The sequence below is a fragment of the Homo sapiens genome, chromosome 1 (genome assembly GCF_000001405.40).
Source record: "Homo sapiens chromosome 1, GRCh38.p14 Primary Assembly".
Taxonomy (NCBI): domain Eukaryota; kingdom Metazoa; phylum Chordata; class Mammalia; order Primates; family Hominidae; genus Homo; species Homo sapiens.
Window position 1 is genome coordinate 203,298,382 of NC_000001.11, and position 20,438 is coordinate 203,318,819.

Consider the following 20,438-nt stretch of genomic DNA (forward strand, 5'->3'; position numbering starts at 1 on the left):
ATATACTTAATAACTGATTCAGTAGTTTGAGGTGGGTGGGTCCAGAATCTCAGGGAGAGGCTGTGTGATCTGAATTTTTATCAAACTTCCTGGGTGATTTGAATGGGTATCCTAAGGTCCCTTGGTATGCAGCCATTTGAATGTCAGATGAGAGATTTTTAATTAGTACTACAGGCAATGGGAAGCTATTGAAGGTTTTTAAAGCAGAAAAAGAAGGGTAATACTAAGGAGAGAGAGAAAGAACTAAGAAACAAGGAAGATGGGAGAGAAGTATCTTTGATCTGTTACATGTTGAGACTGAAACACCAGAAAAATGCTCCAAAGATGTCCAGCTCTCAGTTGGAAAAAAATGAATTGGAAGCTCTGTAATAAAGGTGAAGTTAGAGATGACAATTTTGAGATTTATTCTTTATCAGGAGATGCAAACTCAAATACCTCCAGAATGAAGGCAGGTAATGCAAATGAGGATTAAGTATAATTAAAAAAAACAGCATTCATCCTTAATAAATGGCATGTACCACTTTGTCTCAGCAGGGATGCAGTAGGTAAAGGTGGAGACTGTGGTGAGCTAGAGGACATACCCCCTGTCTTAGGGGCCAGTCATTGCCAAATAGAAGTGTGGGATCAGTGTTAACAGATCTTCTGGTTTTTAGAGAGAAACTATAGATATTTTCATTTTGACACTTTCTAATTATTAAATGTTCACAATGAATTTTTTAAGTGCTTAAACACTATACAGACAAAACCATTTGTATCTATGGTCAGCTTTGCCTTGGGGGGTTCTAATTTGTGACTTCTAAGCTGCACAGATGGGATTCAAGAGAGAGAGTTGAGTAAATTGAGAAGAAATCCAGGGGCTGCACTGTGAAGAACGACGGCCCTCCCAAGCACCCAAGCTTGCCTGGCGGTGAGCCCAGGGCTTAGAGAGACCCTGGTTCTTTTGGCCACTGGGTGTTTGGTGAGCTCCCATGTTGGTGGCAGCAAGTGAAGCCTGCACCTGCCACAGCTATTTCTGCTCATCAGCTGGAAATCATGTGGGTAGCCTCTGAGGTCCTGATACCTCCGGGGTTAGATGCCACCTTGGGGAGGGGCCTGCAGCCTTCACTCCACCACTCTGTATAGTCACTTTTATCCCAAACTGTGAAGATGCTCTCCATCCAGGAGTGTCTGAGTCCTGGCTGGAGCAGGCATCTTGTTTAACACATCTTAGACACCCACTTTGTATCAGGAAATTCTTCTGTTGTCTAATTTAAGTGCTTTTTGTACAATTTAATCTTTTTTTGCTTCTTCTATCTTCAGAGCAGGTGGTGGAATGGGTTACTCTTTAGCTTCCAGATTCTTCCTCAGCCTTCAATAGGGTCTCAAAAAGCCCCAGGCTGGGCCCGGTGGCTCACGCCTATAATCCCAGCACTTTGGGAGGCTGAGGAGGGCAGATCACGAGGTCAGGAGTTTCAGACCAGCCTGACCAACATGATGAAACCCCATCTCTACTAAAAATACACACACACACACACACACACACACACACACAAAAATAGCTGGACATGGTGGCATGCACCTGTAATCCCAGCTATTCAGGAGGCTGAGGCAGGAGAATCGTTTGATCCTGGGAGGTGAAGGTTGCAGTGAGCCGAGACCATGCCACTGCACTCCAGCCTGGGAGACAGAGCGAGACTCTGTCTCAAAAAAACAAAAAACAACAAACAAACAAACAAACAAAGTCCTATCTCAAAAAGTGTCCTCAGGGATGTAAAACTTGTTACCTGCAGATTAGAAAGCTGTTTGCTTACTGATATGTTAGCAAGCCTTCCTTCGGTCTAGATGGGTAGTTTTCTGCTTACCCTCAACCCTAACCGTCTTTGCATTATCTATTTCTGTACCTACTCTCAGTTCATTCTGGGGTGGAGGAAGGGGTTCAAACCAGAAATATTAAAAGTAGCTAGCATCCCCACCTTCCTGTAGTTCTCATTAGCAGGTTTTAGAGACAATCTTATCTTCTCCTCTTCTTAAATTCTCTTCTGATTCTAAAGAATGACTCCCAGACTGGCTGGCCTAGAACTGACCTTGAAAGGCTCAACTTTGTGAGAAAATGATAGGGAACCCACAAAGATGTCCCGATCATTACCCAACGATGCTTGCAAAGAGTTGTGATATATTTAGCAGTATTTCCACCCTGATTAGGAAGCAAGGAAGAGGCAGCTGGTCTTCCCCGGGTGATGTTTCTTATCAGCTCTGGGCAGCACAGTCAAGTTGTCACCAATGAGGTCTGTAAAGAGGAAAGATCAAATTAGTATTTGCACCAGCTACACTCAGACATACTCCACCAAAATGTACACTCTACCATAACACCCACATTTCACAAGACGACTTTCTTCAACAGATACCATTATATGTGCTTACTAACATAGTGAACACATATCCATATCCCCTGCTACCCACAAACATCAGAGCCCACATGCAATCTAAGTATGTATGCTCACTCAAATATACATACTAATACCTCCCTAACCACACCGACACACAGACCAACAAAAACTACACTCTGCATGGTGGAGAAATGACCTGATATTACCCTCCTACAATATCTCAGCCCAGCCACTGCCTGCCTCACTCAACCTCAGGTTTCTACTTGTACTCAGAAAATTGAGCCAACCAAGCCAAGTCCCCACAGGCCCAACAGGGCGCTGGGAAAGATAGAAATCACTTACAACGATCCAGTTGCTTCTGAGCTGGAAATGGAGAGCAGGGCTGCTTGCTAACCCCACAGACGGGGCCAGCACAGAGGCCTGAGGAGTGGGACCCACTTCTGCGTGGGAATATGGCCTGAAGAGAGCAGGTGGGTCAATCCTGAGTCGGCCACACAGGTGGGCTGTGCAAGTGGGCGAGATGAGCAACCAGGACTAGAGGAACCAATAGGTCTGAGGTCACATGGGACAGAAATTCTGGTCCAGATGAGGCATAAATGAAGTCCACCCTCACTTCCATCACCCCATTCCCCCTCTTCAGTGGGTGAAGTCACTGGTCAGCACAAGTCAACATTTAAAGTTCAAAATTCAACCCAAGACCCTTGGGTGGGAGTGGAGGGAGGTAGAGAAGAATGAGGAGGAAGAGGAGGAGGAAGGGCAGGAAGGGAGAAGGAGAAGCAGGAAGGACAGGTGGGGAGGGAGAGGAAACCCACTCTCCTTATCTTGCTGCTCAAACAGCACCTTGATTATACCAAGGAATGGGAAGCAACAGGCAACATGCAAAGAGAAAAAGCAGGGGTGATATCTTGACTTTTAGAGTTTCTAAGGATTCTGGTCCTAGCAATATAAGAGTAGTTTCAGGAAATTTCAAAAACAATTGGGACTGCTATAATGTATTCAGAAATTGATTGAGAACCTAAATCCAGAGTTGAGTACAATTACACTGTGTGTATATATATATTTTTTTTAAATTATTTTTTATTTTTTACTTTTTGAGATGGAGTCTCACTCTGTTGCCCAGGATGGAGTGCAATGTCGTGATCTCGGCTCACTGCAATCTCTGCCTCCCAGGTTCAAGCGATTCTCTTGCCTGAGCCTCTGGAGTAGCTGGGATTACGGGCATCCGCCACCACACCCAGCTAATTTTTTTTTTTTTTTTTTTTTTTTTTGTATTTTTAGTAGAGACTGGGTTTTGCCGTGTTGGCCAGGCTGGTCTCAAACTCCTGTCCTCAAGTGATCAGTCTGCCTGAGCCTCTGAAAGTCCTGGGATTACAGGTGTGAGCCACCACACCCGGCTACACTGTATATTGACTTGGGAACTTTGAATGTGAGATACATTAAGTTTCCTCTCCCTAGGCTTGTGTATAGAAAGAAAAGAGGAGAGGCTGGGCACAATGGCTCATGCCTGTAATCCCAGCACTTTGGGAAGCCAAGGTGGGTGGATCACGAGGTCAAGAGATCAAGACCATCCTGACCAACGTGATGAAACCCCACCTCTACTAAAAATACAAAAATAGCTGGGCATGGTGGTGCATGCCTGCAGTCCCAGCTACTCGGGAGGCTGAGGCAGGAGAATCGCTTGAGCCCGGGAGGCAGAGGTTGCAGTGAGCCAAGATCGCGCCACTGCACTCCAGCCTGATGACAGAGTGAGACCCTGTCTCAAAAAAAAAAAAAAAAAAAAAAAGAGAGAGCAGTGGGACTGCCTTCTGGTATTTATGGATCATCTCTGCCCTACACAAAGTTCACAAACTAATCACCAATGACGAGGCCAAGGCACACCCTGGGTAATGGTGGAGACGAGGGGTTCCAGCCTCCTGGCTCCTGTCCCATTCACTGCATCATCGCCTGCAATGACAGCTCTGTCGGACCACGGCCCATGCAACAGCAGCAGAGGGGCCCAACAGTCTAATGAAAAGGCCCCATACTTGAAGTCAGAAAATTTGGTCCCAGTCCTGGCTCTCTTGAGAATTCACTATGTGGCCTGGTGTGGGACAGAAAAATCTACATAAGGACAGAATTCTATTTTCTGAAGCAAAAAACAGTCGAGGGGCTACCATAAGATTTTTTTCAGCAGTTCAGTTGCAAGAGATGTTAGGCATCTCCTACAACTCACACCTGTCAAAGACATACCCAGGAAGATGTTCAGCGTTTTCACATTTAGGTGCTGAACAACCCTATATAGCTGTCTATATCTTGACCTATTTCCCTGACTTCCTTGGTGGTTGACCTTGGTCAGTTCCGGCCTTGCTGACACCTGGTCTCCATGGCTGGGTATATCTCTAAGTTATCTTGTTTCCAGGGTCAGCCCTGTTTCCTGTAACAAATAATTCTTTCCCCTCAGTGAGCAGAAGTAATGGCCTCATCTGGCCTGATCCAGCATTTGGGGAGAAGCCGGTGAAAGAGGCCATCTAAGAGATATGTTTAATGCCAAACTATTAGAATTTTGGGTCATTTTTATTTGTTATATGAAGCAGTAGAGCAAAATATTTGAATTCTGAATTGTTCCAGAAATGTGGGACATGTGAGCATAGTAACCTGTTTTCAATTAACTTGCAAGCTCTGGTTGAATCTCTAAAAAGATCACTAACAATACCAAATGATAGATTATGAATGCCCAAAGAATGGTATGGATGACTAACTCAGCCTCGAGAGAATGGTCAGCATAGGTTTTCAAGGTGGAAGACCAAGATTACACTGTACCTTCAGTAGTGTGAGAGATTGAGGCAGGGGTGGGGCGTGGTATAGACAATGATGTATGCAGGAGATAAGGACATGAGCCACGGAGCAGCAGGGTCACGCATGTTCAGGCATGCATGGAATGGGGACCACGTTACAGGGCAGAGATGGGGATCATGGGCAAGCTGTTGAGGGATCCAGGCTGTAGATTTGCTGATACTTAGAGGGCAGTGAGAAGAGTGACCCTGGAGCACAAAGTAGCAGCAACCTAAAAAGGCAGATGGGGCTAAATTATGAAGGGTCTTAAACATTAGGCAAAGGAGTCTGGACTTGATTTAGTAGACGAATGGGGGAGGGGATGTTTCAGAATGACCTGAGCAAGAGAAGAGCTAGGGAATGAAGTCTTTTAGGAAGGGAACTCCACTAACAGTGGGAAGGGTGGTCTGGGGATGGGACTGGATAGAATCCACTGCAACCATCTAGATAGTAAGAAGCAGCCGATTTGGGGACTGGATTTAGGGAGCAAAGTACAAGGAGGGGCTGACCTTTCTGGACGGAGTGACTGGGAAATGATGGTATCGCTGACAGAAATGGAGATCAAGAGCTTTGGAGAGACACTGGGCTTCGGCTGACATTGAGGTGGTGGCTGGACATCTGAGGGAGAGGACAGAGCCGGTGGGAACAGGAGCAGGATGGAAAGACAGGAGGACAGACTATGCAGATGAGAAAAGCCACTGTAAAACAGTAAACATCAAGACAGGCTACATGCATAGGACCTCTCCAAGGAAAGGCAGCCTAGAGAAAAGGGAGGAGGACTGAGGAGACATAGTGCGGGGAACGGGGCACGAAGGGATCCAGGGGCAGCACAGCCAGACAGGGGGGTGGAGAAGCCTGGGGCACAAGGAAAAAAGACAGGGACACGGCTTCCAGAAGGTGGTCAGAGGGCTCAGAGTCCAAGGAAAATAGGAATTTACAGAGGCCACTGGGTTTTAGTCACCTTACAAACACGGCATCTGTATGCCAGACCCTGGGCCAGGCTTCACGGTGTTGGGTAGAAGTTATCCTCATTCAGCAGACATCTACCGAGTGCCTGTGATGGTGGCGGTCCCTGAGTGTGGAAGAGGGAGACTGAGGCCAGATTCTTTCTCGAGAAGGTCCAAACCACAATGAGGAAGGAAGACGGCTGGGGGAAGGAGGGAGTGGACGGAAAAATACGTACAGTTGAGAGCAGACCACTAATTCAAAAAAATTAGCACTTAAGGAAAGTGAGAACTAGAAAAATAAGTTGAGAAGACAAAAGTCTTGCAACACACCCCCTACCCCTACCCACCAGAAAACTTAGACTTGAATGGTTCTCAGCAAGAGAAAAGACATTGCTGTAGAATGGAACTTGTTGTGGGAGGTGGGATTACCACGGAAATAAATAGAAGACAGCCTCCCTTTCCAAAGAGCCAAAAGGAACCCATTTCGTCTAGTTAAGAGACGAGGCAAAGCGGTAAAATGGTGACAACACGTCCTGGTGAGTGGTTCTGACCGTGAATGGTTGGAAAATGCTGTGGGAATCAGAAAGGGGAACCGTCTGGGAGAGGTGGTGTCACCGAAGGCTTCTCGGAGGAGGTGGCCTCTAACTCGAGCCTTAAAAATGGGCGAAGAGGCGAGGCCGGGGCCTGCCCCGCGCGGAGTACTCGGGAGCCGCCTCCCTCCTTTCAGAGCTCTCAGTCCCGTCCCCGGGCCTCGCTTTCTCCTCTCGCCTCGCTCAGCTCAGCCGGGCGCAGGTTCCTAGCACTGACGACAGCGAGCGATGACCTCAGCGCCGCCAAGGCTGCGAGGGCGGGGGCTGGGGTGGCGGGGGCGGGGAAAAGCGCCGGAGCGGGGCCGAGCGGAGCGGCTCCGGGCCCCGCCCCCATCCTCTGGCCGCGACCAATGAGCGCCGCCGCCGGCTGCCCCCCTACCTCCCTGGACCTCCTGAAAAACGCTGCCCGGGGAAAGTCCGGGCAGAGCCCGAGCAGCGGCCAGGGTAACGCTGTCTTGTGGACCCGCACTTCCCACCCGAGACCTCTCACTGAGCCCGAGCCGCGCGCGACATGAGCCACGGGAAGGGAACCGACATGCTCCCGGAGATCGCCGCCGCCGTGGGCTTCCTCTCCAGCCTCCTGAGGACCCGGGGCTGCGTGAGCGAGCAGAGGCTTAAGGTCTTCAGCGGGGCGCTCCAGGAGGCACTCACAGGTGAGCGCATGCCGAGGGGCCTGGCGCCACCGGGGGTCGGCCCCATCCCTGCCAGGGCCGTCTTTCTTCTACTCCTGCGGCAGGGTGACCCACGGGAGCAGCTTTGGGACTCGGTGGCCCTCCTCCGACCCCCGGGGCGGCCCGCAGTCCCCAGTTTCCTGGGTCCTCCTCCCCAGCCCTGTGCTCGGGTCTCGGCCGTGGCGGTTCTGATGGGGCGCGCCCCTCTACGCTCTCGGAGGCGCAGACCCTGGTCCTGGAGTGCCAGCCCGAGTCCCCAGCTTATGCCCCTGTCTCATTACGGGCTCGTCTCCCTCGCTGGACCCTCGAGATCTTAAGACCCTCGATGGATGTTGTTGCGGGCCGCCCGGTCGGCCGAGGGGTCCCGATGAGGGAAGAAGGTGCAGTCGAGCCTTTTCAACAATTTGGAGTCCCAGTGCGGTTCTTCCTGCCGGTCGGGGTGCGCTGTGCCTGGGGTAGTCCACTGGTTGCTGACTGGCTTCAAGTTGGAATTTGGGCCCCCTTTGTGTTATCTTTGGTTCCCCTTAGCCATCTGCCACCTATTGTGGTAGGGAGGAGAGCCTCGTAGCTCGTGACCCTGCCGTGCGGGCCTTCAAGTTGGGAGGTGAAGAGATAAGCAGCCCGCTCGCTGGCTGGGGAGAGACCTCTCTCCCAGCTGTTTCTAGCTGGTTACTGTCAGTTTTGGGAAGCGATAGCCATCTCGGAACGCACCCACACAGACCCTGCCTTCTGAGGAAAACAGATGTTTCATCAAAACAACCCAGTTTTCACTCCCTTAGGCACTGCTAAGGAAGGTTCTCTGACTCTTCTGAAGGAAGCAGAGGGAACACAGGGTGGGAGGTCCAGTGACTTGCTGTGGACCCAACAATGTTGGCAGCCTTCCTGGCCCTGAAACTTCAGCTCACAGGTCTCCAGAGGCCCTGCCTGGACATGCCAGTCCCAGTCACACCCTTCCCTTGCTTTGGGGGTGTGCCAAAAGCAATACACTGGCCACTAGAGAGTACCCTAGAGCTCTAGAATCCCCTCCCAACACGCACACACACACACACACACACTCTCTCTCTCACACACACACACTCAGTCACACACACACACACACACACACACACTCTCTCACATACACTTGTCCTGGAAGCAGGAAAGTGGATCTTTCCAGCTTCCATAAAATTTTCTCTGCTAAGTGGAAAGAGGGTCCTAGAACTCAGAGGAATCCACCTCCCTTACTTAAAGGGCCCCTTTCTCTCCTCCTGTCCCTTGACCCTCCACCCCGCCCTATGGTAGTATCCATGGCCTAGCTGCTCTAACCAGGGCATCTGCCCCTGGTCCTGTCTCCACAGAGCACTACAAACACCACTGGTTTCCCGAAAAGCCGTCCAAGGGCTCCGGCTACCGCTGCATTCGCATCAACCACAAGATGGACCCCATCATCAGCAGGGTGGCCAGCCAGATCGGACTCAGCCAGCCCCAGCTGCACCAGCTGCTGCCCAGCGAGCTGACCCTGTGGGTGGACCCCTATGAGGTGTCCTACCGCATTGGGGAGGACGGCTCCATCTGCGTCTTGTACGAGGAGGCCCCACTGGCCGCCTCCTGTGGGCTCCTCACCTGCAAGAACCAAGTGCTGCTGGGCCGGAGCAGCCCCTCCAAGAACTACGTGATGGCAGTCTCCAGCTAGGCCCTTCCGCCCCCGCCCTGGGCGCCGCCGTGCTCATGCTGCCGTGACAACAGGCCACCACATACCTCAACCTGGGGAACTGTATTTTTAAATGAAGAGCTATTTATATATATTATTTTTTTTTAAGAAAGGAGGAAAAGAAACCAAAAGTTTTTTTTAAGAAAAAAAATCCTTCAAGGGAGCTGCTTGGAAGTGGCCTCCCCAGGTGCCTTTGGAGAGAACTGTTGCGTGCTTGAGTCTGTGAGCCAGTGTCTGCCTATAGGAGGGGGAGCTGTTAGGGGGTAGACCTAGCCAAGGAGAAGTGGGAGACGTTTGGCTAGCACCCCAGGAAGATGTGAGAGGGAGCAAGCAAGGTTAGCAACTGTGAACAGAGAGGTCGGGATTTGCCCTGGGGGAGGAAGAGAGGCCAAGTTCAGAGCTCTCTGTCTCCCCCAGCCAGACACCTGCATCCCTGGCTCCTCTATTACTCAGGGGCATTCATGCCTGGACTTAAACAATACTATGTTATCTTTTCTTTTATTTTTCTAATGAGGTCCTGGGCAGAGAGTGAAAAGGCCTCTCCTGATTCCTACTGTCCTAAGCTGCTTTTCTTGAAATCATGACTTGTTTCTAATTCTACCCTCAGGGGCCTGTAGATGTTGCTTTCCAGCCAGGAATCTAAAGCTTTGGGTTTTCTGAGGGGGGGGAGGAGGGAACTGGAGGTTATTGGGGTTAGGATGGAAGGGAACTCTGCACAAAACCTTTGCTTTGCTAGTGCTGCTTTGTGTGTATGTGTGGCAAATAATTTGGGGGTGATTTGCAATGAAATTTTGGGACCCAAAGAGTATCCACTGGGGATGTTTTTTGGCCAAAACTCTTCCTTTTGGAACCACATGAAAGTCTTGATGCTGCTGCCATGATCCCTTTGAGAGGTGGCTCAAAAGCTACAGGGAACTCCAGGTCCTTTATTACTGCCTTCTTTTCAAAAGCACAACTCTCCTCTAACCCTCCCCTCCCCCTTCCCTTCTGGTCGGGTCATAGAGCTACCGTATTTTCTAGGACAAGAGTTCTCAGTCACTGTGCAATATGCCCCCTGGGTCCCAGGAGGGTCTGGAGGAAAACTGGCTATCAGAACCTCCTGATGCCCTGGTGGGCTTAGGGAACCATCTCTCCTGCTCTCCTTGGGATGATGGCTGGCTAGTCAGCCTTGCATGTATTCCTTGGCTGAATGGGAGAGTGCCCCATGTTCTGCAAGACTACTTGGTATTCTTGTAGGGCCGACACTAAATAAAAGCCAAACCTTGGGCACTGTTTTTTCTCCCTGGTGCTCAGAGCACCTGTGGGAAAGGTTGCTGTCTGTCTCAGTACAATCCAAATTTGTCGTAGACTTGTGCAATATATACTGTTGTGGGTTGGAGAAAAGTGGAAAGCTACACTGGGAAGAAACTCCCTTCCTTCAATTTCTCAGTGACATTGATGAGGGGTCCTCAAAAGACCTCGAGTTTCCCAAACCGAATCACCTTAAGAAGGACAGGGCTAGGGCATTTGGCCAGGATGGCCACCCTCCTGCTGTTGCCCCTTAGTGAGGAATCTTCACCCCACTTCCTCTACCCCCAGGTTCTCCTCCCCACAGCCAGTCCCCTTTCCTGGATTTCTAAACTGCTCAATTTTGACTCAAAGGTGCTATTTACCAAACACTCTCCCTACCCATTCCTGCCAGCTCTGCCTCCTTTTCAACTCTCCACATTTTGTATTGCCTTCCCAGACCTGCTTCCAGTCTTTATTGCTTTAAAGTTCACTTTGGGCCCACAGACCCAAGAGCTAATTTTCTGGTTTGTGGGTTGAAACAAAGCTGTGAATCACTGCAGGCTGTGTTCTTGCATCTTGTCTGCAAACAGGTCCCTGCCTTTTTAGAAGCAGCCTCATGGTCTCATGCTTAATCTTGTCTCTCTTCTCTTCTTTATGATGTTCACTTTAAAAACAACAAAACCCCTGAGCTGGACTGTTGAGCAGGCCTGTCTCTCCTATTAAGTAAAAATAAATAGTAGTAGTATGTTTGTAAGCTATTCTGACAGAAAAGACAAAGGTTACTAATTGTATGATAGTGTTTTTATATGGAAGAATGTACAGCTTATGGACAAATGTACACCTTTTTGTTACTTTAATAAAAATGTAGTAGGATAAACTTGTGTGGTGTAGAGAAGTTAAAATCCTCACGTTGTACATTTGTGTTTCCCTTTCAGATCCAAATCCTTTCTTTGTGTTTAATAGTATTTCTCCTCACTTGCACTCAGACAATCTATAGCATGTGGGTGGTATAAAAGAAAAATCTGGTTGTATGGCTGGGCCATTTCCAAGCATCCCCTCTTTCCTGGAAAGTAGCTCCTTACTTCCCTCCGTTTTGTTTGTTTGTTTGTTTGTTTTGAGACAGTTTTGTCACTCAGGCTGGAGTGCAGTGGTGCAATCTCAGCTCATTGCAACCTCTGCCTCCTGGGCTCAAATAATTCTCCCACCTCTGCCTCTTGAGTAGCTGAGATTGCAGGCATGTGCCATCAGGCCCAGCTGATTTTTGTATTTTTTGTAGGGACGGGGTTTTGCCATGTTGTCCAGGCTGGTCTCAAACTCCTAAGTTCAAGTGATCCCCCTGCCTCTGCCTCCGAAAGTGCTGGGATTACAGGCGTGAGCCACCGCGCCCAACCTACTTCCACCTTTAATGAGGATTCTAATTTCCCTGTGAAGATGCTAGAAGTAACAGGGTTCTAGTCTGAACATTCCCTAGTCTAGCCAGATCTCCATCTTATGCATCTTGTTTTTGATAGTCGTTCATTTCATTCATTCATTCATTCAGTCAGTTATTCATTTAGCAAGCATGTATTGTCAGTAAGTGCTAGGCACTGAACTTATTAAAAATCCTTGAGACACAGCCTGTCTCACAGACCAGGGTTTGGTAAGCAGCGGGTAATGAACTCCTTCCCAGGCTAAGGCAGGATTGTTGGCAATTCCCAGAAAAGGTGCTCTTGTCATCTCTGGGGCTGTCATTTGCTATCCACCATACTTGTCTTGTTAGACAAGAGCAGCTAGGCCTCAGGATCTATGCACTGGAGCTGAATGCCAATGCTACAGGTTAGCTAGAGAGCAGCTACTTCTGACAGCAAACACTGGAGTGAGAGCCAAAAGTTTGTTACCAATTTGTAACTCCCTTTGGTTACATGCAAGGAAATAACAGTTTTTATCTTCCCTGACTTTTGAGTTCTTTCCATGAGATTTTTGACACAAGCCCAGAGTTTCCCACTGAGGGCAAGTACATTCCCAGCCTGGTCTAGTTTTTTCTTGGCTGTAGGTGAGCTGTATTTATTTGTTTATTTATTTATTTCTTTTCTTTTCTTTTTTGAGACGTAGTCTCACTCGCTCTTGTCGTCCAGGCTGGAGTGCAGTAGTACGATCTTGGCTCACTGCAACCTCCGCCTTCCGGGTTCAAGTGATTCTCCTGCCTCAGCCTCTGGAGTAGCTGGGATTACAGATGCCTGCCACCATGCCTGGCTAATTTTTGTACTTTTAGTAGAGACGGGGTTTCACCATGTTAGCCAGGATGGTCTCGAACTCCTGACCTGAGGTGATCCACCCTCCTCGGCCTCCCAAAGTGCTGGGATTACAGGTGTGAGCCACCGCAGCTGGCGGTGACCTGTATTTAAACTAAACTTTACACATGTTGCTTCATATACAGTGACAACTCCCCCAACTTCATTTCTTACCTCCATGACCTTTATCAACAAACATACAGTTTTCCCTAGATGTGCTATGTTGGAAGTAGCCCAGGGAGGCTGTGTGTGCTATGCCTGTGTTGAGTGAGGAGGGTAGGGGAGCCAGGGATGGGGTTAGGGAAGGCCAGGTCATCTGTATCATAAATAGAATTTGGTTAAGACTCATTGTATCAAGGGGTTGTTACTGAAAGGAGTAGTCCCATTTTTATTTGTAGCTTCTGAAATAAATGTCCTAGACACTTGTTTAAAAAGACCTACTTTTTTGGATGTAAGGACAGGGTTAGTTAGGGTTGAGGAATTTTTGCCCACCCTCTTTTGAGTGTATGGTACAAAGTCAGCATCTATCTTCCTGATTCCTAAAAGGCCTAGCTCATGAAGGATATTTCCTTGTTTAGTGGAAAGCCTGAAATTCGGGGAAGGTTGTCTGGAGACTGAGGGGACCCTTCACCCACGTGTGTCTTCAAGTCAGGGAAGCCACAGCATGGCAGATTCACCTCAGGGCCACTCTCGGCTGTTGGTAAACTAGTAGTCCCTCAATTTACATGAGAGGGTTCTGTGGTCAAGCAATGTGTTTTCTTTTTTGATATGAACCAATTTCAGTAGAACTGGAGCATACCCATTGGCTACCTGGGGTTACAGGGGCTCTGGCCTGAAATTGCTTGAAGAGTTGCAGTTGGTGGCTTTCATGTGTTCAGGGACTAGGCATTGGTTGGTCTGTTCTGCTTCCATCTTCTCCACTTGGTAAGCAGTGCCAGCCTGGGAGACCTGTGGTCAGTCAGCTGTTTTTGAATGATAATGCACCTCCCCAGAGAGTGTAGACAAGGCTCTGCATGCTGCAGATTAAGAGCCCATCCTGGATCCTGATAAGGAGTTCTGGGTGGAGGAGTCCTTGGTGCTGCAACAAACAAGTCCCAGGAGGAAGAAACCCACTTCTGTAGGCCTGACTCCTGTAAGGAGCCTTTGGTAAGGAAGGTGAGGACTCAGGTGTCCTGGCTTCCAGGCCAACACAGCATCCCTGGCCCAACAAAGATTGGTGCAACAGAAAGAGTTCTGGACTGGGAGGAAGAATGTATGGGTTGTGGTCCTGGTACTTCTTAACTAGCCATGTGAGTCTGGACAAGCTCCTCAGCTTTTCTGTCTTAAAAATTAGGGAGTTGGCTGGGTGCAGTGGCTCATGCCTGTAATCCCAGCACTTTGGGAGGCCGAGGCAGATGGATCACTTGAGGCCAAGAGCTCAAGACCAGCCTGGCCAACATGGTGAAACCCTGTCTCTACTAAAAATACAAAAATTAGTCAGGTGTAGTGGTGCGTGCCTGTAGTCCCAGCTACTTGGGAGGCTGAGGCAACAGAATCACTTGAACCCGGGAGGCAGAGGTTGTAGTAGCCGAGATTGAGCCACTGCACTGTAGCCTGGGCGACAAAGCAAGACTCCGTCTTAAAAAACAAAAAAAAAAAACTGGGAATGGTGGCTCATGCCTGTAATCTCAGCATTTTGGGAGGCTGAGGTGGGCGAATCACGAGGTCAGGAGTTCGAGACCAGCCCGGCCAACATGGTGAAACCCCGTCTCTACTAAAAATACAAAAAATTAGCTGGGCATAGTGGCGGGTGCATGTAATCCCAGCTACTTGAGGCAGGAGAATCACTTGAACCCGGGAGGCCAAGGTTGCAGTAAGCCAAGATTGCGCCACTGCACTCACTCCAGCCCGGGCAACAGAGTGAGACGCCGTTTAAAAAAAAAAAAAAAAAAAAAAATTAGAGTTTTGGATTAAATGACCTACGTTCTTTTCTTTGGCTATTTATTTATTTATTTATTTATTGAGACAAGGTTGCACTCTGTTGCTCAGGCTGTAGTATAGTGGTATGATCACAGCTCACTGCGGCCTTCATCTCCGAGGCTCAGGTGATCCCCCTGCCTCAGCTTCCCAAGTAGCTGGGACTACAGGTGTGAGCCACCTCTCCTGGCTAATTTTTTGTTATTTTTTTTAGAGATGGGGTCTTGCTATGTTGCCTGGGCTGGTCTCAAACTCCTGGCGTCAAGTAATCCTCCTGTCTTAGCCTCCCAAACTGCTGGGATTACGGTTCTTGCCCAGCCTTTTTCAGCTTTTGATTCTAAATCATCCATCCCCATTATACTGCCAATCACTGGGGGGGCAAATTAGCACCATTATTATCATTATTTTCAATTAGTTGAACTGAAAGGTAAGGTAATTTGGGCTGAGAAGTACAGTAATTAATAATCTTTTGCTTGGGTCAGACTCCTGCCTGTTAAGGTTTCAGTTTGCAAACACTGTGAAGCAGTACTACAAAGAGGTTAGGAGCTCAGGCTCTGGTGTTAGGCTCCCTAGGGAGGTTTAATCTCAGCTCTACCACCCACCTATCCACTGTGCAACCTGGTGGCTAGTGACTTTAGCCAAGCCTCAATTTCCCCCTTTGTAAAATGGAATGAAGAATATAACCAACTTAAAAATGTTGTTACGAAGATTAAATGAGAGCCATAATCTACTTATAATTGTCCTGGCACAGGTAAGTACTCGATAAAAAGAGAATACTTGTTCTTTCTTTCTTTTTCTTTTCTTTTCTTTTTTTTTTTTTTGAAACAGAGTTTCGTTCTTGTTGCTCAGGCTGGAGTGCAGTGGCATGATCTCTGGTCACTGCAACCTCTGCCACCTCGGTTCAAGAGATTCTCCTGCCTCACATGGGCAAGGACTTCATGACCAAAACACAAAAAGCAATGGCAACAAAAACCAAAATAGACAAATGGGATCTAATTAAACTAAAGAGCTTCTGCACAGCGAAAGAAACTACCATCAGAGTGAACAGGCAACCTACAGAATGGGAGAAAATTTTTGCAATCTACTCATGTGACAAAGGGCTAATATCCAGAATCTACAAAGAACTCAAACAAATTTACAAGAAAAAACCCCATCAAAAAGTGGGCAAAGGATATGAACAGACACGTCTCAAAAGAAGACATTTATGCAGCCAACAGACACATAAAAAAATGCTCATTATCACTGGTCATCAGAGAAATGGAAATCAAAACCACAATGAGATACCATCTCATGCCAGTTAGAATGGCAATCATAAAGTCAGGAAACAACAGATGCTGGAGAGGATGTGGAGAAATAGGAATGCTTTTGCACTGTTGGTGGGAGTGTAAATTAGTTCAACCATTGTGGAAGACAGTGTGGCGATTCCTCAAGGATCTAGAACTAGAATTACCATTTGACCCAGCAATCCCACTACTGGGTATATACCCAAAGGATTATAAATCATGCTACTATAAAGACACATGCACATGTATGTTTATTGCGGCACTGTTCACAATAGCAAAGACTTGGAACCAACCCAAATGTGCATCAATGATAGACTGGATTAAGAAAATGTGGCACATATACACCATGGAATACTATGCAGCCATAAAAAAGGATGAATTCATGTCCTTTGCAGAGACATGGATGAAGCTGGGAACTATCATTCTCAGCAAACTGTCACAAGGACAGGAAGCCAAACACCGCATGTTCTCACTCATAGGTGGGAACTGAACAATGAGATCACTTGGACACAGGGTAGGGAACATCACACACTGGGGCCTGTCAGGGGGTGGGGGACTGGGGGAGGGATAGCATTAGGAAAAATACCTAATGTAAAAGATGAGTTGATGGGTGCAGCAAACCAACATAGCACATGTATACTTATATAACAAACCTGCACGTTGTGCACATGTACCCTAGAACTTAAAGTATAATAATAAAAAAAAACCTTAAAAAAAAAAGAGAGATTCTCCTGCCTCAGCCTCCTGAATAGCTGGGATTACAGGTGCTGCAACTATGCCCAGCTAATTTTTATATTTTAAGTAGAGATGGGGTTTCACCATGTTGGCCAGGCTGGAATCGAACTCCTGACTCAGGTAATCCACCCACCTCAGCCTCCCAAAGTGCTAGGATTACAGGCGTGAGCCACCATGCCCGGCCTGAGAATAGAAATAACCCCATCTCCTTAAGGACTCTGAAGAGGGTCCTAAAGTGAAAGATCCTAAAATGAAGAAGAACACTCTGGCATACTTCTAACTGGAAGGAAATCATTCTTAAAATCATAGCACCTACTAGTACCTTCAAGAATGGCTACAGCTGGCTGAGTATGGTGGCTCACGCCTGTAATCCTAGCACTTTGGGAGGCCAAGGCTGATGGATCATGAGGTCAGGAGGTCGAGACCAGCCTGATCAACATGGTGAAACCCCGTCTCTACTAAAAATACAAAAATTAGCTGGGTGGTGGCACGCACCTGTCATCCCAGCTACTCAGGAGGCTGAGGCAGGAGAATCTCTTGAACCTGGGAGGTGGAGGTTGCAGTGAGCTGAGACCTCACCAGTGCACTCCAGCCTGGACGACAGAGTGAGACTCCATCTCAAAAAAAAAAAAAAGAAAGAAAAAAAGAATGGCTACAGATAACACCATCCGAGCAGCCTGTGGCCTCTCCCCTACAAAGATGATTTTCAATCCTTTGTTTAAAAACATGCACAGGGCCAGGCGTGGTGACTCATGACTGTAATCCCAGCACTTTGGGATGCCGAGGCCAGCGGATCACAAGGTCAGGAGTTTGAGACCAGCCTGGCCAAAATGGTGAAATCCCGTCTCTAATAAAAATACAAAAATTAGCCGGGCGTGGTGGCGCATGCCTAATCATCCCAGCTACTCAGGAGGCTGAGGCAGGAGAATTGCTTGAACCTGGGAGGAGGAGGTTGCAGGGAGCTGAGATCGTACCACTGCACTCCAGCTTGGGTAACAGAGCAAGACTCCGTCTCGAAAATAAAAAAAAAAGAAAAATTAAAAATTAAAAAAAACATGCACAGGCCAGGCATGGAGGCTCACGCCTATAATCCCAGCATTTTGGGAGGCCATGACAGGTGGATTACTTGAGCCCAGGAGTTTGAGACCAGCCCAGGCAACATAGTGAGACGACATCTCTACAAATAATACAAATAATAAAAATAAAAAACATGCACAGCCCAGGCTGTGGCAAAGAAAATATGCACAATACAAAAGCCCTTCCTGGGTCATATGTAGCCTACAGTAGGGACTCTAAAAGTACCTGCTGAATTAATGATTGATAACTGAATGAACTCATGTCTGACCTCTGTCATTCTTGCAGAAATGTACGGTATCCTTGCTAGGCATCTGACCTCGGTGGGCCACGGGGCAACTTTGACCCATTGGCTCCACTGGTCTGCTTGTGGATTAATACCAAACTGGGCTATGTGCTCATTTACACACAAAGTGGATGGGGAAAGTTTTCTAATAGCAGCTTTACTTACCTCCACTCAGCCCATCTGTGGAGTACACCCACAGGTTCTCCCTTCCCAGAAGAGAAATAAATGGAGAAGCTAAGAAGGGCAGGGCCAAGCTCTCTGGCTTTTTCTCCACACCACTTCTTTGCAGAGCTGGCAAGAAAAACGTTTGAGCTCAGTCTAAGAGGCTACCAGGGCCCTGGATAAGGATCTTATACAAACGAGTATGCCCTGGATACGCAGCCAATCCTTTCCCCTGATGTGAGCCTGGTTCTCTGGGCCCCAGCAGCTTCAAGCCATTTTGTTCCCATTGGCTCTGCCATTCTCCACCCTCATTCCTATAAACAAGAATGAACCTTGATTCAACTCTTGTCCAGTAAACTGCACAGGCTGCCTAGAGCATATCAGATAAGAAGAGGTAATAGCTGGGTGAGTTTGGAGCAAGAACTGCTTTACTTAACATCACTATCAGGGAAGGGCCATTTAAAATTCGATGGGCAGGGGAGTGAGGGTGGGACCAGGCAGTAGATAAGTGAGGCTGGCTGGACAAAAGCCATGGTAAACTTGAGGAGTGAGCTCAAACCTTGTCTGAACAGAGCCTCTGTTCCTTAGCTTCAGTCCACTGCAATCATGAGGCCAGTGATTTCAGATATGGTAATTTTCAAGAGCAGCCTGAAATGTAGATGTTTATTTGACATTTCCCTAAACTCTAATCATGGCAACTAATTTTTTGAAAGTGCTAAAGGCTGTTTTTTTAAAAGTACATATCTGCATGTGCTCTCAACTTGTGGCCTATGATGTACCTGGGGCCACCTGGGAATGGGATGTAGGGGTTTTCAACCCTATCCCCCAAGCTAGGAGTGAGTCTCTGCATTGAGGACCTCAGTGGAAGGCTGTCCCTATGGCCACAATCTCTAAGAAGGAGCATTCTGGCATGTTCCTGATAGAAATGAGGGCACACAAGGGGCCTCTTCACCCCTAAAATTAGATAAAAAGCAGCGCTCCCCACCTTCAACTGGTGGTACCCGTTAAACTTGTGCTTGGGACGGCAGCCTCCAGGCTTTTGCTCAAGGAATGCCCTGTCCCCTTCCTTTCCACCTACTTTAGCCAGGTTCACTCACGTTTTTAAGTTCACACTTTTCCAATGTTCACTGTTCAGTGTTCACACTTTCAAGTTCACAGTTTTTCAGTGACATCTCTCCTTCACAGACTGGGCTACATGGCCTTCCCCTGAGTTCCCATGATGTTCGGTTTTATAACCCTGAATTTATAGCTAGAATGTAGACTAGAGACCTTGCCTGAACAGTGTCTGGTACTTAGTAGGTATTAGTGAATACTGGTTGAACAAATGAATGTCAAAGTTGCCAAGAGTGGAGGCTAGTGGATGAAAGGAATTTAGATCAGGGGTGGAAGAAAAAAAATTAAGCCCATTCAGCAATTTTGAGCTGGGACTCCCTAGGAACCTGTGATTGCACCTTAAGAAAACTTGGTCCTTTGAATCTTGCAGGCTTTTAGGTCTTTAAACACCTCTTATTGAAATGTAAATGTCACTTAAATAGGGGTGTTCACACCTTAAATCATAATGTGAGAGAGCCTTCGTTATCAATTAACTCCCTAAATGGATTTACCCAAAAGGTAACAACCTGGAGAGAAGAAATCTGGGCTGATGCCAGGAAAGGACTCTGGCCCCAGTGGCAGGAGAGGGAGAATAGATTCCACAGCTACTAAACGCTGATTTCTATCCAGAGAAATCCTTCCTAGTGTCTACTTTGGAGGCTGGCTGGGGGCTCACAGAAATGGCACTGGGGTAGGAGTTGTTAGGAAATAGGGGGCCTAGCTTCAGGGCTGACAGTAACTTGTAATAGAAGTCTTCGATATCTTGAACAAGTCCCTTCTCCACTCTGAGCCTCAGTTTTTGTCTTCCTTCTTCCTTTCTTTCTTCCTTTCCTTCTCTTTCTTTCTTTTTCTTTCCTTCCTTCCTTCCTTCCTTCCTTCCTTCCTTCCTTCCTTCCTTCCTTTCTTTCTTTCTTTCCCTTCCTTCCTTCCTTCCTTCCTTCCTTCCTTCCTTCCTTCCTTCCTTCCTCTCCTCCTTCTTCTTCTTCTTCTTCTTCTTCTTCTTCTTCTTCTTCTTCTTCTTCTTCTTCTTCTTCTTCTTCTTCTTCTTCTTCTTTCTTTCTTTCTTTCTTTTTGGAAAGTGTTTAGTTTATAAATCATCTTGTGAAAAATCCACAATGGCTGCAGCCTTGCACCACCTTTTCTCCTTCATGAGCCTCAGTTTTCCTATCTGTAAAATGAGTCACCTGTGCTAAATTATCTCTTACCATTCTATTTTTGTTTCCATATGGAACAGGA

The 20,438-nt window shown here is 47.6% G+C and overlaps 1 protein-coding gene and 1 long non-coding RNA gene across 3 annotated transcripts, besides 8 other annotated features; one reads left to right on the forward strand and one right to left on the reverse strand.

Moving 5' to 3' along the window:
- Nucleotides 1-376: 376 nt before the first annotated feature.
- BTG2-DT (BTG2 divergent transcript) lies at nucleotides 377-6,944 on the reverse strand. Of its 2 annotated transcripts, NR_034151.1 has the most exons (4): nucleotides 6,472-6,944; nucleotides 6,139-6,324; nucleotides 2,709-2,900; nucleotides 377-2,266 (listed from the first exon to the last, which is right to left on the reverse strand). It is a non-coding gene; the product is annotated as a BTG2 divergent transcript (long non-coding RNA). The 2 variants fall into 2 exon arrangements; NR_034150.1 differs by lacking the exon at nucleotides 6,139-6,324.
- Nucleotides 804-1,008: a silencer, noted in NCBI's record as "fragment chr1:203268313-203268517 (GRCh37/hg19 assembly coordinates)". NCBI's record gives its function as "represses an EF-1alpha promoter that drives an FKBP-Casp9 reporter gene in an ReSE screen in K562 erythroleukemia cells {active_cell/tissue: K562}" and the evidence as "EXISTENCE:reporter gene assay evidence [ECO:0000049][PMID:32094911]".
- Nucleotides 6,634-6,753: an enhancer, noted in NCBI's record as "active region_2344". NCBI's record gives its function as "activates an Ori minimal core promoter by ATAC-STARR-seq in GM12878 lymphoblastoid cells {active_cell/tissue: GM12878}" and the evidence as "EXISTENCE:reporter gene assay evidence [ECO:0000049][PMID:35858748]".
- Nucleotides 6,864-7,143: a silencer, noted in NCBI's record as "silent region_1719". NCBI's record gives its function as "represses an Ori minimal core promoter by ATAC-STARR-seq in GM12878 lymphoblastoid cells {active_cell/tissue: GM12878}" and the evidence as "EXISTENCE:reporter gene assay evidence [ECO:0000049][PMID:35858748]".
- On the forward strand, nucleotides 7,138-11,221 carry BTG2 (BTG anti-proliferation factor 2). The gene is made up of 2 exons (NM_006763.3): nucleotides 7,138-7,367; nucleotides 8,723-11,221. The coding sequence occupies exons 1-2, from the start codon at nucleotides 7,226-7,228 to the stop codon at nucleotides 9,055-9,057; spliced, it is 477 nt and encodes a 158-aa protein (NP_006754.1). The 5' UTR covers nucleotides 7,138-7,225; the 3' UTR covers nucleotides 9,058-11,221.
- Nucleotides 7,924-8,063: an enhancer, noted in NCBI's record as "active region_2345". NCBI's record gives its function as "activates an Ori minimal core promoter by ATAC-STARR-seq in GM12878 lymphoblastoid cells {active_cell/tissue: GM12878}" and the evidence as "EXISTENCE:reporter gene assay evidence [ECO:0000049][PMID:35858748]".
- Nucleotides 8,415-9,357: an enhancer, noted in NCBI's record as "OCT4-NANOG-H3K27ac-H3K4me1 hESC enhancer chr1:203275924-203276866 (GRCh37/hg19 assembly coordinates)". NCBI's record gives its function as "activates a minimal SCP1, AML or CMV promoter by ChIP-STARR-seq in naive H9 embryonic stem cells {active_cell/tissue: H9 hESC(naive)}" and the evidence as "EXISTENCE:reporter gene assay evidence [ECO:0000049][PMID:30033119]".
- Nucleotides 8,774-9,013: an enhancer, noted in NCBI's record as "active region_2346". NCBI's record gives its function as "activates an Ori minimal core promoter by ATAC-STARR-seq in GM12878 lymphoblastoid cells {active_cell/tissue: GM12878}" and the evidence as "EXISTENCE:reporter gene assay evidence [ECO:0000049][PMID:35858748]".
- Nucleotides 9,358-10,300: an enhancer, noted in NCBI's record as "OCT4-NANOG-H3K27ac-H3K4me1 hESC enhancer chr1:203276867-203277809 (GRCh37/hg19 assembly coordinates)". NCBI's record gives its function as "activates a minimal SCP1, AML or CMV promoter by ChIP-STARR-seq in naive and primed H9 embryonic stem cells {active_cell/tissue: H9 hESC(naive and primed)}" and the evidence as "EXISTENCE:reporter gene assay evidence [ECO:0000049][PMID:30033119]".
- Nucleotides 13,304-13,899: a transcriptional cis regulatory region, noted in NCBI's record as "candidate enhancer chr1.10869 targeted for multiplex CRISPR interference". NCBI's record gives its function as "positively regulates BTG2 gene expression with high confidence in K562 cells {active_cell/tissue: K562}" and the evidence as "EXISTENCE:mutant phenotype evidence [ECO:0000015][PMID:30612741]".